The following is a 17,772-nucleotide window of genomic DNA, read 5'->3' as shown; positions in this document are numbered from 1 at the left end:
TAATATTTGTGTTATGGTAAATATACATAAGATAAAATTTCCCATTTTAGCAATTTTTCAATGTACAATTTAGTGGTACTGAGTATATTCACAGTGTTGTACAAACATCACCACTATCCATTTCTAGAACTTTTCCATCACCCTAAATAGAAACTCTATGTCCATTAAATAATAACTTCCAATTCCTCCTTCCCATATCCCCTAGTAAACCATTCATCTTTTTGTGTCTCATGAATTTGACTAGTCTAGATACCTCATATAAGTGGAATCATGTAATATTTGTGCTTTTGTTTCTGGCTTATTTTACTTAGCCTGTTTTCAAGGTTCATCCATAATGTAGCATGTATCAGAATTCCATTCCTTTTTCAGGCTAATACTCCATTGCATGTATTAACCACATTTTATTGATACATTTATCTGTCGGTGGGCATTTGGAGTGTTTCCACCTTTTGGCTATTGTGAATAAAGCTACTATAAATGTTGGTGTGCAAATATCTGTTCAAGTCCCAGCTTTCAATTCCTTTGAGTATATACCTAGAAGTAGAATTGCTGGATCACATGGTAATTCTGTGTTGAACTTTCTGAAGAACAACCACACGGTTTTCTACAGCAGCTACACAATTTTATATTCTCACTAGCAAGGTACAAATATCCAGATTTCTCCACATTCTTGACGACACTTGTTATTTTCTGTTCTTCTGATAATTATCCTAATGAATATGAAGTGGTATTTCATTGTAGTTTTGATTTTCACTTCCCTAATGATGAGTGAGGCTAAGCACCTGTTCATGTGCTTATTGGCCATTTGTACCTCTTCTTTGGAGAAATGTCTATTCAAATTATTTTCCCATTCTTAAATTGGGTTATTTGGTTTTTCTGTTGTTGAGCTGTAGACATTCTTTACATATTCTTTATTTATACATATATCAAATATGTTATTTGTAATATATTTGTCTCATTCTGTTGGTTGCCTTTTCACTCTACTGATGTACAGAAGTTTAGCAGGAGAGGTTTTAAGAGCTGGAGTAGGGGGTAGTAGGCCATCTGTGTTAACTGTCCTTACCTAAAGAAAACACAAACTTTACTGTATCTTCGTGATAGGAGGTACTGTTATAACTTGGAGCTAAGCACCCTCTCAAGTTGGTTACTGCCCTCCTACAGAAACTGGAGACACGGGCTCTATCTTCCTTGATTATTACATTTCAAGGAGATGGCCCTCCTTAAGAAAGACATTCCAGGGTTGTAGAATTGGTAACAGGCATTTTTTAAAAGTTATATATCAAAGGAGCAAAAAAACAGCCTAAAAGTTTTTTTATAGTAAATGATCTAAGAAAAGGGAGGTCAGTGGCCTAGAGTTGGTAAGAAATCCTATCTAAAGTTAGGAGAACTAAGAGAAATATTAATGAGACTTTATTTTGGCCACCTTGGTTAAAATAAAACATTTGGAGGCCGGGCATGGTGGCTCATGCCTGTAATCCCAGCACTTTGGGAGGCCAAGGCTGGCGGATCACCTAAAGTCAGGAGTTCAAGACCAGCCTGGCTAACATGATGAAACCCCATCTCTACTAAAAGTACAAAAATTAGCCGGGCATGGTAGCGCCCACTACTAGTAATCCCAGCTACTCGGGAGGCTGAGACAAGAGAATTGCTTGAACCCAGGAGTTGGAGGTTGCAGTGAGCCAAAATCATGCCACTGCACTCCAGCCTGGGTGACAGAGTGAGACTCTGTCTCAAATAAATAAATACATACATACATACATACATACATACATACATACATACATACATACATACAAAAGAATTAGCCGGGCCTGATGGCAGGAGCCTGTAATCCCAGCTACTAGGTAGGCTGAGGCAGGAGAATCGCTTGAACCCAGGAGGTGGAGGTTGCAGTGAAACAAGAATGTGCCATCACACTTCTGCGTGGGCCACAAGAGCAAAACTCCATCTCAAAGAAAAAAAAAGCATTTGGGGCCATTACAGATGAGAAAAACTAATTCCAACTGGAAGAAATTCCAGCAAGTATCTCAGAGGTATTAACATTTATGTAGTCAAGCAGGCTGGTATAAGATTCAATGGGCAAATTTATTAAAAAAGAAAATGCCAGATAAAGAAAAATCATTCGTTAAAAAAAAATAGAGAAATAAAAGTTTATAACAAGATAGACAATGCAGCCAGCAAGACAGCAGGATGTAAAGGAGTTATCATGGAAGACTCTGTCTGGGAACATGGATAGCCTTGGACCATGGAGGGCCTAAATGTCATATTAGGAATTCAGACTTCATTTTAAGGACACTAGGGGCTCAAAAAAATGTAACAGGGGGCATATGACATGATCTGGGTATTGGAAGTGTGGAAAGCAGCTGGAGAGAGGGAGTCAGGCGGGAGAGAAGGCTTTGTCTTTCCGTTGTCACGGCTGTGGCTGGCACACCTGGCAGAACAACTGTCCACAAGCCAGCAGGTAGGGCCTCCTCACACACTGCTGCAACCACCCTTTCTCTGTCTTCACTTGCACCTGCCCTGTCCTGGGAGGAGTGACTTGAGCCAGAAAAGAAGCTGTGACATCAGTAGCAATGGTACCAGAGTGGCGAGCATTAGGGAAGGAGGAACAGAGTGATACTCATAAGAAAATAATTTCTTTCAGAGCACAGCCAGGCAGCCAAGCTTTCAACTCTAAAATCGAGGACCCACTAACGTAGGGGGAGCTCAAGGTAACAGCCCTGACAGCACCAGAGGAGGAAAGCAAGGCTCCTCATGAGTTATTTGCATCACAAGTACCCAACACAGCCAGACTTGGGTGGGTCTCCTCCACCACCACTGTTGGTCACTGAAAGATCACTTAACATGTTACTCTGTGCCTCTTTTTTTCAAGTAAACTGGCAGTTAGATCTAGAGGCTTGATTAAATTCAGATTTAGGATTTTGTAAAAAAAAAATTTCATAAACAGTAATACTATAAAGTACTATTTATATAGTATAGTACATAGCACATAAATAGCACATACATAAAGTGGATCACTATTAAGTTTCCTTTCAACCTTCTACCCATTTGGTTATTTGGTAACCATTAGTAATTATTCCCTAGAAGTATTATTTTCTCACAGGTTGCAAAATGGTGATATTCTATCACTTTTTTATTTATTCACTGGAATTCTTCTATTAAAAAATTTTCCCAGACTGGGCGCAGTGGCTCACGCCTGTAATCTCAGCACTTTGGGAGGCTGAGGCGGGTTAATCGTCTGAGGTCAGGAGTTCAAGACCAGCCTGGACAACATGGTGAAACCCTGTCTCTACTAAAAATACAAAATTAGCTGGGCGTAGTGGTGCATGCCTGTAATCCCAGCTACTCAGGGGGCTGAGGCAGGGGAATACTTAAACCCAGGAGGTAGAGTTTGCAGTGAGCCGAGATTGCACCACCGCACTCCAGCCTGGGCAACAAGAGTGAAACTACGTCTCAAAAAAATAAATAAATAAAAAATAAAGTTTTCCCCTATCAACTCTTTGGTTACTCTGAATTTCAGTTTGTGTAGGAAAGCAAAAAATTTGGTTTAAAAACTTTTTAAAAGCAATTTCAGAATAATGAGTTAGTGCCCTAGCAATCCTCAATGTGACCAGTGAGAGGTTTAATAAAAGCATTGAAATTTATGTATTTTGAAATTTTTGATATATTTCAAACTACTTCAGTCAAAAAAATCTTTCTGATTCTCCTTGATGCTCCAAGTGTCCCTTCTTTTGCCAGTAGGAGCTCTTTCAAATTGGACTCTGTATCATTGCTTACAAACACACACACACACACACACACACACACACACACACATACACACACACACACACAGTCAGAGGATTCAGAACACACATGTCTTCTGCTTCTCTCTAAGACCCCATCTAGTTATCCTCAACTGCTAGTGGATCTGTTCATATTCCAATGGCCAAAATGAGTCACATAGCCACATGCAAAATCACCATGAGGAAGTATACTGTGCCCACACTGAAGCCATGGGAAGGAGAGTGAGAAATAAAAATGTTTTAAAATCCTGTGAACTAACACTACTATCTACCACATTGAATGTGATGGTTAATTTTACATGTCAATTTTTCTAGGCTACAGTACACAATCAAACATTAATCTAGGTCTTGCTGTGAAGGTATTTTGAAGATACATTTAATATCTATAATCAGTTGACTTTAGGTAAAGGAGACTAATCTTGATAATGTGGGTGGAACTTATTCAATTAGCTGAAGGCTGTAAGAGCAAAATCTGAGATTACTCAGAGAAAAAGAAATTCTGCCTCAAGACTGCAGCATCAACTCTTGCCTGAGATTCCAGCCTACTCAGCTGCCCAACAGATTTCAGACTTGCCAGCTTCCATAATCACGTGAGCAAAATATTTAAAATGAAGGGATGGCTCTGGTCAGAGCAATTAACCAAGGAAAAGAAATGAAAGTGTTCAAATTGGGAGAAAAAAAGTATAACTATCTCAGTTCACAGATTACATGATTCTATATATAGAAATCCTAAAGAATATACACATGTAGGCACACATACAAAATTAATAGAGCTAATAAGTAAATGTTCAGAGTACAAGGCCAACACTTGCTATGGTTTGAATATATCCCCCCAAAGGACGTGCTAGAAACTTAACCCATAATGCAACAATGTTGGGTGGTAAGGCCTAATGTAAGTTGTTTAGGTCATGAGGTCTCACCCTCATGAATAGATTAATGCCAATTGTAAAAGAACTTGAGGCTTCAAGTTTGATCCCTTGCTCTCTAGCCCTCTCTTTGTCCTTCCACCATGGGATAACATACATACCAAGTAGGCTCTCACCAGATGCTAGCCCTTCAATCTTAGAATCTTCAGCATCCAGAACCGTGAGCCAATAAACTTCTGTTTATTATATGTTACCCAGTCTGTAGTATTCTGTTACAGCAGCAGAAAATAGACTAAGAGAATACCCCAAAATCAATTGTGTTTCTATACATCAGCAATCACCAATCTGGAAAATTAAAAACAATTTCATTTATAATAGCATTTGCTAAGAACTAAATATGTCCCCTCAAAATTCACATATTGAAGCTCAAACCCCCAGTGTCACTGTATTTGGAGATGGGACCTATATAAGAAGGTAACTGAGGTTAAATTGATCACAAGAGTGGAGTTCTGATGCTATAGATTAGTATCTTTATAAAAAAAAAAAACAACAAAAACGACCAGATATCTTTCTCTGTGTGTTTCTCTGTCTGTTTCCCTTTCCTTCTCCCGCTTCCTTTATCATATGAGAATGCAGAAAGAAGGTGGCTATCTACTCGCCAGTAAAAGAGCCCTCACCAGAAACCAAATTGGCAAGCACCTTGATCTTGGACTGCACAGCCTCTAGAACTATGAGAAATAAATTTCTGTCGCTTAGGCCATTCAGTTTATGGTATTTTGTTATGGCGGCTTGAGCAAACTAAGATAGATTTTGCTACCAAGAAGTTGCATGTTGCTTTAATAAAACCTAAACATGTGAAAGTGGTTTTGGAACTAGGTAATGGGTAGAGGCTGAAAGAATTCTGAGGTGCATGCTAGAAAAAGCCTAGATTTCCATGCTAGAAATATGGATGTTAAAGGCAATTCTGGTAAGAACTCAGAAATACAGTTGAAGAGAAAGCCTCCATCTTCTTAGAGAAAACATAATCATGAACACAATTTTGGTAAATATATGTTTGTTAAAGGCCATTCTTGTGAGGTCTCAGATGGAAATGAAGAATGGGTCACTGGAAGACAGAAGAAAGGCAGTCCTTGTTATAAAGTAGCAAATAACTTGGCTGACTTGTTTTCTAGTGTTTTCTGGCAGACAGAATTTGTGAATGATAAAATTGAATATTTAACTGAGATTTTTAAGCAAAATGCTGAAAGTGCGACCTGGATCTTCCTGAATGCTTATAGTAAAATGCAAGAAGAGATGAATGAAAGAAGAAATTATTAAGCAAAAAGGAACCAAGACTCAAATATTTGGAAAATTATCTGCCTGTCATGTTGCAGAAAATGAGAAAGTACATTCTAAAGAAAACACCAAAGGTATGGTTAGACTATCATTTGATAAATAAATGATGAGATTATATGAGCAGAAACACTGCCTGTTTCAACTGAAGGGGATGCAGACAAGACAAAAATGACAGAAGGCTTTTACATGTCCTAGATTCTACAGGACAGGACAATAGAGCTATCCAGCTGCTAACTTTGTACTATTCCTTTTTTTTTTTTTTTTTGAGACAGATTCTCACTCCATTGCCCAGGCTAGAGTGCAATGGCGGGATCTCAGCTCACTGCAACTTTCACCTCCCAGGTTCAAGTGATTCTCCTTCCTCAGCCTCCCAAGTAGCTGAGATTATAGGCATGCACCACCAGGCCAGGCTAATTTTTGTATATTTAGTAGAGATGGGGTTTCACTATGTTGTCCAGGCTGGTCTCAAACTCCTGACCTCGTGATCTGCCCACCTTGGCCTCCCAAAGTGTTGGGAGTACAGGCGTGAGCCACCGCACCTGGCCAAACTTGTGCTATTCTTTAAGAAAAGGGGAGAATGACCTCAAAGCAATTCAGATGTTATCAAGGCCATTACCTAGCAAAACTTTTGGGATGAGACTCTGCCTGGAAGAGCATGCCTGGCAGAGTGTGGGGAGAGGTATAGCATCCACCTAGGGTCCAGAAGGCAGGGCCACCACCCTTGTAGGTCTGGAAGGCAGGGCACTGAATCAAAATGGATTATTCTTGAGCCTTAAAATCTACTAGAATTTGCCTTGCTAGATTTTTGGACTTGCTTGGGACCTGTCATCCCTTCCTTTTTGCCTATTTCTTTTATTTCCTTCCTTTCTTGCTCCTATTTTTGTTTGTTTGTTTGTTTGGAATGCCTATTCTATGCCTGTTCTGCCATTGTATTTTGGAAGCAAACAACTTCCCTGGTTTTACAGTTTCATAGCTGGGGAGAAAATTTGCATCAGGATGAATCATATCTCAAGTCTCACCCTTATCTGTTTTAGGTGATATTTAGAAGAGACTTCGGACTTCAGATTTTAGAGTTGATGCTTTTGAGACTGTTGAAGTGGTATGAATGTATTTTGTATTCAATAAGGACATGAATTGCAGGGGTACAGAAGTCTGTTGACCAAATTATATCTCCACAAAATTCATATATGTAACCCCAAACCCCAATGTCACTGTATTGGAGATAAGATCTATAAGGAGGTAATTAAGGTTTAAGAAGATCATAAAGGTGGGGCCCTTATCCAATAGAATTAGTTACTCATAAGAAGAGACATGAAAGCTAGTGTGCTTGCACAATGGATTCTTGGTGATGACACCAAAAGCACAAGTAACAAAATAGATAAATTAGATTTCATCAAAATTAAAAAGGTTTGTACACTGAAGGATATTACAAAGAAAGTGAAAAGACAACCTACAGAATGGGAGAAAGTATCCACCAATGATATATCTCATAAGGGTCTAATATCCAGAATATATGACTACACATAACTAACAACAAAAACACAAACAACTCAATTTAAAAATGGGGAAATACCTGAATAGAGAGTTCTCCAAAGAAGATATACAAATGGCTAACAAGGGCATGAAAAGATGCTCAAGATAACTAGCCATTAGGGAATGCAAATCAAACCCACAATAAAATACCACTTTATACCCTTTGGGATGGTTACTATCAAAGGAATAGAAAATTATGGTGTTAGTGAGGATGTGGAGAAATTGGAATCCCCCGACAATGCTCTTGGTATGTAAAATGAATGGTTCAGCTGCTGTAGAAACATTTGTTTATGGGTTCCTCAAATATTTTCACGTAGAATTACTATAAGACCCAGAAGTTCCACTATGTTTATACCCAAAAGAATTGAAAACAGGGACTCGAACAAATACTTGTATACAAATGTTCATATCATTGCTATTCACAATAGCCCGAAAGTGGAAACAACCCAAATGTCCATCAGTGGATGGACAGGTAAAACTGTGGCATCTAGGTACAGTGGAATAGTAGCCATAAAGAGACATGAAGTACCGATACATGCAACAAGGTGTACAAGGTGAACCTGCAAAAGATTATGCTACGAAGACAGACCAAAAGGTCACACATTCCATTTATATGAAATATCCGTAATAGGTACCACAGTTTGAAAGCTGATTGGCATTTGCCAGGGGCTGAGAGAGGGAGGAATGGGAGTAACCACTTAATGTGTTCGGATTTTATTTTGGAGTGTACTTTAATACACTTATAATGTGTGCAACCACTAACTCTAATTCCAAGACACTTTCATTCATTATGACCCTTGGCATTGTGAACGGCAAATAATAAATGCTCATTAAAAAGATTCACCCCAGGCCGTGCATGATGGCTCACGCCTGTAATCCCAGCACTTTGGGAGGCCAAGGCGGGTGGATCACTTGAGATGAGGAGTTCAAGAGCAGCCTGCCCAACATAGTGAAACAGTCTCTACTAAAAATACAAAAATTAGCCGGGTGTGGTGGTGCACGCCTATAATCCCAGCTACTCCGGAGACTGAGGCAGGGAGAATCGCTTGAACCCAGGAGGCAAAGGTTGCAGTTAGCTGAGATTTCTCCACTCCACTCCAGCCTGGGCGACAGAGCGAGACTCTGTCTGAAAAACAAACGAACAAACAAAACAAAACAGACCTTACAATGTGTGCTAGTAATGCGGTTTCTGAATTTTTAGAACCCTTCTCTGGGGTGGTTTTTTTAAAAACATAAACTCATTGGCAGTTGATATACTACAGAAGGTTGTACGCATTGGACTAGTAAATGTAGGTAACGGTGTCGCTGTTTTTCCATTTGTATGTGCTAAGCAAAGAGAAAAGCTAGTTCTATGTTTCTTCCACTCTAGAAATTCAACAGGGTCGTTTTTCCCCAAATTCACATCTACACCCTCCCTCCCACTTTGCGGACTCGGACTCCAGGATTGAGCAGAGATCCTGGGCCCCGCCTCCCGCCCGGACGCAAGTCTCTGCGGGCCTCACCGGCGTCCTGCGCGGAACGCAGCGCTCCAGGCTCCTGGCAGCGGCCCCGCCCTCCCGGCTCCTCCCCTTCCGCCCGCCTTCCCCGCCCCTCGGCCCAGCCTGCCAATCGGAAGTGCGGCCGCCGGAACTGGCTGTTGGTGGGGGTGCAGCACTGAGCCGCCGACGGGGCGGGTGGGCTTTGCTGCCGAGCAGGCGGCGCCGTCTTGGGGCCTAGCGGCGAGGCGACCCGCACAGGTGGGCGGTGGCGGTAGGTGGGTGGCCAGCGACTGGCAACGCGGTGGCTTAGACGCGCGAGATCCGGCCAGGGTCAGAGGTGAGCGGGCCGCATCCCAGAGCCCGCTGGAGGAAGACGGGGTCCCCAGAGACCCGGCAGGCCGGGGCGGAGGTTGAGGCAGCTAAACTCCAGGTGGACGCCTACATCGCCTTTCGCGGTGTTGCTAAGCCGAACTTTTAATTTTAGTTTGACTTTTGGGTTCCAGAGACGGGTATTTCCGGACACTGGCAAGAATTTTGCCTTGCGTGTCTTCGAAGGCGGTTTTCTTGGTGTCCATATTGCATAAAGGCTTGTCGCTCCTCTGTGGAGATGACGGTTGTACAGGTAAAGCCTAAGTTGTGACAAAAGCTCCTGCAATGGGAAGACTCTGGTCGATCAGGGAAATCAGTAGAATTGATAGCAACGCGTAGAATTGATAGCAACGCTTAGAATTGGATTAATTACTGGCCATGGTTACCCGGCGCTCAGAAATGAACTTGGAGAACAGTTGCCCTGGAAGCCATCTCCCGTAGCCACTGCGTAGTGGGGGCCGCGTCTTCTTGAGTGCAATTCATCAAAGTCTCTAGTAGGACTCAAAATATAAAGTGACGAGCAGGATTTTCGGAGTCGAGTACAGTGTACTTGGGTTGATCACCATGTTATAAAGTTAGATCCAAATTAAGAAATACATATTCGTCTCTGAGCAGAATTGGGTCCTTTTTTTAATTGCTTTGCTTTTTTTAAAGAAATGTAAAAACAGATGCCGGTTTGATTAGTTTGCAGGTTGTAATATTGGAAGGGACCTAAGATTGGACACAGAGTTCTGAATTCTGATCTAGGTCTGTGATGTTAGGAAAGTCAGTTGTTCTGATTGCCTTATTCTGTAAAACGGAAATGATAATGATTACAGTTTCCTCACAGGTTCTAGTAAATTCTGTGTATAGACAGAATGTTTGCTTTGTGAGAGATATGAAGTTATTAGTTTTTGTCTGAAGTACTTAAATAATTTAAAGTTAGTAAGCCCCCATCCCCAATTTAGTGACAAGAAATCTTAAAGTCATCACATTTTGTCCGAAAAGTACATAGTGTATCTTCATCTTCAAATTCAGTGGTCAGAAAATTTTCACGTTCACCTAAATTCAACTTAAACCTCCTACGAGCTTTTCAAGGGTAGGAGTAATATCTTACTCATTGTAAATGATCGTAAATCATTTACAGTTGTATGGTGCTTGTGTTTGTGTTGTATTAGGAGGTTAGTCCATTTTTTAAAGTTTCAGACGGAGTTTCACTCTTGTTGTCCAGGCTGGAGTGCAATGGGGCGATCCTGGCTCACTGCAACCTCTGCCTCCCAGTTCAAGCCATTCTCCTGCCTCAGCCTCCGGAGTAGCTGGGATTACAGGTGTGTGCCAACACACCCGGCTAATTTTTAATTTTTTTAGTAGAGACTGGGTTTCACCATTGTTGGTCAGGCTGGTCTCGAATTCCTGACCTCAAGTGACCCACCCGCTTCTGCCTCTTACAGGCCTGAGCCACCGCCCCAGCCAACTTTTTTTTTTTTTTTTTTTTGAGACGGAGTCTCTCTATGTCGTCCAGGCTGCAGTGCAGTGGCGCGATCTTCGCTCACTGCAGCCTCCACCTCCCAGGTTCAAGTGATTCTCTTGCCTCAGCCTCCTGAGTAGCTGGGATTTCAGGTGTACGCCACCACACCCGGCTGATTTTTGTGTTTTTAGTAGAGACGGGGTTTCGCCATGTTGTCCAGGCTGGTCTCGAACTCCAGGGCTGAAGCAATCCACCTGCCTTGGCCTCCCAAAGTGCTGGGATTATAGGTGTGAGCCACTGCACCCGGCCTTCTGTATTTTTTTGTAGAGACACTTTCCCCATGTTGCTCAGGCAGGTCTGGAACTACTGCTCCTGGGCTCAGGCCATCTGGCAGCCTCTGCCTCCCAAAGTGCTGGGATTACTGGCGTGAGCCACACCCCACCTGGCCCTTTCCTTTTTTTTTTTTTTTTTTTTTTAATGGCTTGGCAAAAAACAAAGCTTTGGGGTTCACCAAAAATCAAAGCAAAACTGTTTTACCTGGAAAATCTTGTTTTCTGTCATCAGAAGTTGTGCTTTAGTTCAGCTGTGTAGACACCCAGTAGTGGTTACATGAAGTTAGGTGAATAGATTAAAAATAATTTTTATTTGTCATCAGTCTCAGAGCAAATGTTTTCTATTTATTTTTATTTCTAACTTTTTTTTTTTTGAGACAGGGTCTTGCTCTTTTACCCAGGCTGGAGTACAGTGGTGTGATCATGGCTCACTGCAGCCTCTATTTCCCAAGCTTAAGTGATCCTCCTGCCTCAGCCTACCGAGTAGCTGGGACCTGTGCCACCATGCTGGACTAATTTTTTTTTCTTCCCTTAGTAGTGACAAGTCTCACTATGTTGCCCAGGCTGGTCTCAAACTCCTCAGCTCAGATGATCCTCTCACCTGGGCCTCCCAAAGTCCTGGGGTTACAGGTGTGAACCACCATGCCCAGTCTTATCTCAGAGCAAATGTTACGCACCATCCTTTGCTAGGCAGAGTGAGCTTCAACCCTGGCAGCACGTTTGACTCGTCTGGGGAGCTCCAAAAATGGGGACTGTGCCTCACTCTAGACCACTTAATCAGTCTCAAGCAGGTGGGTCACAGGCATCCCACAGTTTGAAGCTCTGCAAGTTACTCTTGTGCAGCCAGGATAAGAACTCCTGTAGTTATAGAAAAGAAGATTTTCTTTTTTTTTTTTTCTTTTTATTATACTTTAAGTTTTAGGGTACATGTGCACAACGTGCAGGTTTGTTACATATGTATACATGTGCCATGTTGGTGTGCTGCACCCATTAACTTGTCATTTAACATTAGGTATATCTCCTCATGCTATCCCTCCCCCCTCCTCCCACCCCAAAACAGGCCCTGGTGTGTGAAGTTCCCCTTCCTGTGTCCATGAGTTCTCATTGCTCAATTCTCACCTATGAGTGAGAACATGCAGTGTTTGGTTTTTTGTCCTTGCGATAGTTTGCTGAGAATGATGGTTTCCAGCTTCATCCATGTCACTGCAAAGGACATGAACTCATCATTTTTTATGGCTGCATAGTATTCCATGGTGTATATGTGCCACATTTTCTTAATCCAGTCTATCATTGTTGGACATTTGGGTTGGTTCCAAGTCTTTGCTACTGTAAATAGTGCTGCAATAAACATACGTGTGCATGTGTCTTTATAGCAACATGTTTTATAATCCTTTGGGTATATACCCAGTAATGGGATGGCTGGGTCAAATGGTATTTCTACTTCTAGATCCTTGAGGAATCGCCACACTGACTTCCACAATGGTTGAGCTAGTTTACAGTCCCACCAACAATGTAAAAGTGTTCCTATTTCTCCACATCCTCTCCAGCACCTGTTGTTTCCTGACTTTTTAATGATCGCTATTCTAACTGGTGTGAGATGGTATCTCATTGTGGTTTTGATTTGCATTTCTCTGATGGCCAGTGATGAGCATTTTTTCATGTGTCTTTTGGCTGTATAAATGTCTTCTTTTCAGAAGTGTCTGTTCATATCCTTCGCCCACTGATTGATGGGGTTGTTTGTTTTTTCCTTGGAAGTTTGTTTGAGTTCATTGTAGATTCTGGATATTAGCCCTTTGTCAGATGAGTAGATTGCAAACATTTTCTCCCATTCTGTAGGTTGCCTGTTCACTCTGATGGTAGTTTCTTTTGCTGTGCAGAAGCTCTTTAGTTTAATTAGATCCCATTTGTCAATTTTGGCTTTTGTTGCTATTGCTTTTGGTGTTTTAGACATGAAGTCCTTGCCCTCGCCTATGTCCTGAATGGTATTGCCTAGGTTTTCTTCTAGGGTTTTTATGGTTTTAGGTCTAACATTTAAGTCTTTAATCCATCTTGAATTAATTTTTGTGTAAGGGCTAAGGAAGGGATCCAGTTTCAGCTTTCTACATATGGCTAGCCAGTTTTCCCAGCACCATTTATTAAATAGGGAATCCTTTCCCCATTGCTTGTTTTGGTCAGGTTTGTCAAAGATCAGATGGTTGTAGATATGTGGCATTATTTCTGAGGGCTCTGTTCTGTTCCATTGGTCTATATCTCTGTTTTGGTACAAGTACCATGCTGTTTTGGTTAATGTAGCCTTGTAGTATAGTTTGAAGTCAGGTAGCGTGATGCCTCCAGCTTTGTCTTTTGGCTTAGGATTGACTTGGCAATGTGGGCTCTTTTTTGGTTCCATATGAACTTTAAAGTAGTTTTTTCCAATTCTGTGAAGAAAGTCATTGGTAGCTTGATGGGGATGGCGTTGAATCTATAAATTACCTTGAGCAATATGGCGATTTTCACGATATTGATTCTTCCTACTCATAAGCATGGAATGTTCTTCCATTTGTTTGTATCCTCTTTTATTTCCTTGAGCAGTGGTTTGTAGTTCTCCTTGAAGAGGTCCTTCACATCCCTTGTAAGTTGTATTCCTAGGTATTTTATTCTCTTTGAAGCAATTGTGAATGGGAATTCACTCATGATTTGGCTCTGTGTTTGTCTGTTATTGGTGTATAAGAATGCTTGTGATTTTTGCACATTGATTTTGTATCCTGAGACTTTGCTGAAGTTGCCTATCAGCTTAAGGAGTTTTTGGTCTGAGACAATGGGGTTTTCTAGATATACAATCATGTCATCTGCAAACAGGGACAATTTGACTTCCTCTTTTCCTAATTGAATACCCTTTATTTCCTTCTCCTGCCTAATTGCCCTGGCCAGAACTTCCAACACTATGTTGAATAGGAGTAGTGAGAGAGGTCATCCCTGTCTTGTGCCAGTTTTCAAAGGGAATGCTTCCAGTTTTTGCCCATTCAGTATGATATTGGCTGTGGGTTTGTCATAAATAGCTCTTATTATTTTGAGATACGTCCCATCAATACCTAATTTATTGAGAGTTTTTAGCATGAAGCGTTGTTGAATTTCGTCAAAGGCCTTTTCTGCATCTATTGAGATAATCGTGGTTTTTGTCATGGGTTCTGTTCATATGCTGGATTACGTTTATTGATTTGCGTATGTTGAACCAGCCTTGCATCCCATGGATGAAGCCCACTTGATCATGGTGGATAAGCTTTTTGATGTGCTGCTGGATTCGATTTGCCATTATTTTATTGAGGATTTTTGCATCGATGTTCATCAGGGATATTGGTCTAAAATTCTCTTTTTTTGTTGTGTCTCTGCCAGGCTTTGGTATCAGGATGATGCTGGCCTCATAAAATGAGTTAGGGAGGATTCCCTCTTTTTCCATTGATTGGAATAGTTTCAGAAGGAATGGTACCACCTCCTCCTTGTACCTCTGGTAGAATTCGGCTGTGAATCCATCTGGTCCTGGACTTTTTTTGGTTGGTAAGCTATTAATTATTGCCTCAATTTCACAGCCTGTTATTGGTCTATTCAGAGATTCAACTTCTTCCTGGTTTAGTCTTGGGAGGGTGTATGTGTCGAGGAATTTATCCATTTCTTCTAGATTTTCAAGTTTATTTGCGTAGAGGTGTTTATAGTATTCTCTGATGGTAGTTTGTATTTCTGTGGGATCGGTGGTTATATCCCCTTTATCATTTTTTATTGCGTCTATTTGATTCTTCTCTCTTTTCTTCTTTATTAGTCTTGCTAGCAGTCTATCAATTTTGTTGATCTTTCAAAAAACCAGCTCCTGGATTCATTGAGTTTTTGAATGAATCTTTCCACCAAATATTAGAAACATATGTACCCAAGGAGTGAGGTTTCGTTTTGTTTTTGTTTTTGTTTTTTGTATCAAATAGGCTAGATAATGTATCTTTTTTTTTTTTAATTTTAGTTTAAGTTCTGGAATACATGTGGTGAATGTACAGGTTTGTTACATAGGTATACATGTGCCATGGTGGTTTGCTGTACCTATCAACCCGTCATCTAGGTTTTAAGCCCCGCATGTGTTAGGTATTTGTCCTAATGCTCTCCATCCCCTTTCCCCCAACCCCCCAACAGGCCCCAGCGTGTGATGTTCCCCTCCCTGTGTCCATGTGGTCTCACTGTTCAGCTCCCACTTATGAGTGAAAGCATGTGATGTGTGGTTTTCTGTTCCTGTGTTAGTTTGCTGAGGATGATGGTTTCCAGAATCATTAATGTCACTGCAAAGGACATGAATTCATTCTTTTTTATGGCTGCATAGTATTCCATGGTGTATATGTGCCACCCTTTCTTTATCCAGTCTATCATTGGTGGGCATTTGGGTTGGTTCCAAGTCTTCATTATTGTAAATAGTGCTCCAGTAAACATACGTTACGTGTGTATGTGTCTTTATAGTAGAATGATTTATAATCCTTTGGTATATACCCAGTAATGGGATTGCTGGGTCAAACAGTATTTCTGGTTCTAGATCCTTGAGGAATTGCCACACCGTCTTCCACAATGGTTGAACTAATTTACACTACCACCAACAGTGTAAAAGTGTTCCTGTTTCTCTGCAGCCTCACCAACATCTGTTTCCAGACTTTTTAATGACTGCCATTCTAACTGGTGTGAGATGGTATTTCATTGTGGTTTTGATTTGCATTTCTCTAATGACCAGTGATAATGAGCTTTTTTTCATATGTTGGCCGCATAAATGTCTTCTTTTGAGAAGTGTCCGTTCATATCCTTCACCCACTTTTTGATGGGGTTGTTTTTTTCTTCTAAATTTAAGTTCTTTGTAGATTCTGGGTATTAGACCTTTGTCAGAAGGATAGATTGCAAAAAATTATCGCCCATTCTGTAGGTTGCCTGTTCACTCTGATGATAGTTTCTTTTGCTGAGCAGAAGCTCTTTAGTTTAATTAGATCCCATTTGTCAATTTTGGCTTTTGTTGCAATTGCTTTTGGTGCTTTAGTCATGAAGTCTTTGCCCATGCCTATGTCCTGAATGGTATTGCCTAGGTTTTCTTCTAGGGTTTTTATGGTTTATGGTTTTATGGTTTTATGTTGTAAGTCTTTATTCCATCTTGAGTTAATTTTTGTTAAGGTGTAAGAAAGGGGTCCAATTTCTGTTTTCTGCATGTGGCTAGCCAGTCTTCCCAGGGCCATTTATTAGATAGGGAATCCTCTCCCCATTGCTTGTTTTTGTCAGGTTTGTCAAAGATTAGATGGTTGTAGATGTGTGGTGTTATTTCTGAGGCCTCTGTTCTGTTGGTCTGTATATCTGTTTTGGTACCAGTAGCATGCTGTTTTGGTTACTGTAGCATTGTATAGTTTGAAGTCAGACAGCATGATGCCTCCAGCTTTGTTCTTTTTGCTTAGGATTGTCTTGGCTATACAGGCTCTTTTTTGGTTCCACATGAAATTTAAAGTAGTATTTCCTAGTTTTGTGAAGAAAGTTAATGGTAGCTTGATGGTAATAGCATTGAATCTACGAGTACTTAGGGCAATATGGCCATTTTCACAATATTGATTCTTCCTATCCATGAGCATGGATTTTTTTTCTATTTGTTTGTGTCCTCTCTTATTAATAAGAGGATTTTTTATCAGCAGACATGATTATATCTGTGATTTGTAAAGTGAACTGGATAGTGATCAAGCCCAGTGGGCAAGCTATTAAAATAATTCAAAGGAAAAATGAGAATAGCAACAGTAGTGATAGAGAAGAGATTTTAAAAAATGTATTTTTTTTCTCTCTGGAGATGTTAAGTATTTTTGAGAAAAGGAGTAATAATTGTAACTTGGCAAGTGTGTTTTGCCTTTCCTAGTTGAAACTACTTTTCAGCAGTGAGTGGATAGGTTGTGGTACATGAATTTTATTGTTACTCATTATTAAAAAGTGTCTTAAAAATATGTATGTCTTAAAAATATAAGTAATTTTCCTTGTTAATTATGAAATATGTAATCTCTTTTTTTTTCTCTTAATAGCCTTATGTTAATATTGGGGTTTTATTGTTTTTGCTTTTCAGTACTGTAAGATTGATGTTAAAGGCATGGTGTTCACCCCACTTCATCAGCGTACATAAGTTATCTCTTCTTTTGGACCCTTATTTTATGCCATAATGGTAAGCTTCAGCTCAGTATGTTCAAATTTGTGTTTTAGAATGTTCTCTTCCTTCATCTTCATAAAGATATTTGTATGGTAGATATAGAAATACTCTTGTAAGCTGTACAGGTTATCCCAACTGGGAAATTACTTAGCAATCCCATTGCAAAGTCTTCTCTATAAAGTATATTGCTCACTAATCAGTGTTACAGTGATCACATTCATCCATCTATCTGTGCTTGTATTTATGAAGTATTAAAAATATTTACCTATATCTACTTTGCCATATTCCAAATCGTTGGCAAGGAGGATGGGTATAAATACAAATAGTTTTGGGGAGTATAGATTTCTCGTATTTTAAAGCTTTTCTTTAGATTTTATTAAAATTTAAAAACAAATGTAACCTGCTAACTGCATATAACGTATTTCAGGCAGCATCAGTGCTAATCTTCTAATGGCACATTT

At 40.3% G+C, this 17,772-nt stretch overlaps 1 protein-coding gene across 52 annotated transcripts in view, besides 1 other annotated feature; it reads left to right on the top strand.

Annotated features, from left to right (window-relative positions):
- Positions 8,955-9,214: a silencer, noted in NCBI's record as "silent region_5271". NCBI's record gives its function as "represses an Ori minimal core promoter by ATAC-STARR-seq in GM12878 lymphoblastoid cells {active_cell/tissue: GM12878}" and the evidence as "EXISTENCE:reporter gene assay evidence [ECO:0000049][PMID:35858748]".
- Positions 9,126-17,772, top strand: part of SUPT20H (SPT20 homolog, SAGA complex component) — a 50,377-nt gene continuing 41,730 nt past the window's right edge. For 38 of the 52 annotated variants that reach the window (XM_017020661.2, XM_024449379.2, XM_017020659.2 and 35 more), the window contains exons 1-2: positions 9,126-9,255; positions 17,231-17,326. In XM_017020661.2, coding sequence (XP_016876150.1) covers positions 17,324-17,326 — 3 coding nt within the window. In that variant the 5' untranslated portion in view covers positions 9,126-9,255; positions 17,231-17,323. Of the gene's footprint in view, positions 9,620-17,230; positions 17,327-17,772 lie in introns of all 52 variants that reach the window. The other 14 variants (XM_047430448.1, XM_005266458.5, XM_047430458.1 and 11 more) reach the window with 2 other exon arrangements.

This window comes from Homo sapiens, chromosome 13, assembly GCF_000001405.40.
Source record: "Homo sapiens chromosome 13, GRCh38.p14 Primary Assembly".
Taxonomy (NCBI): Eukaryota; Metazoa; Chordata; class Mammalia; order Primates; family Hominidae; genus Homo; species Homo sapiens.
The sequence above is the reverse complement of the archived record's forward strand: the minus strand, read 5'-3'. Positions and strand labels throughout refer to the sequence as shown.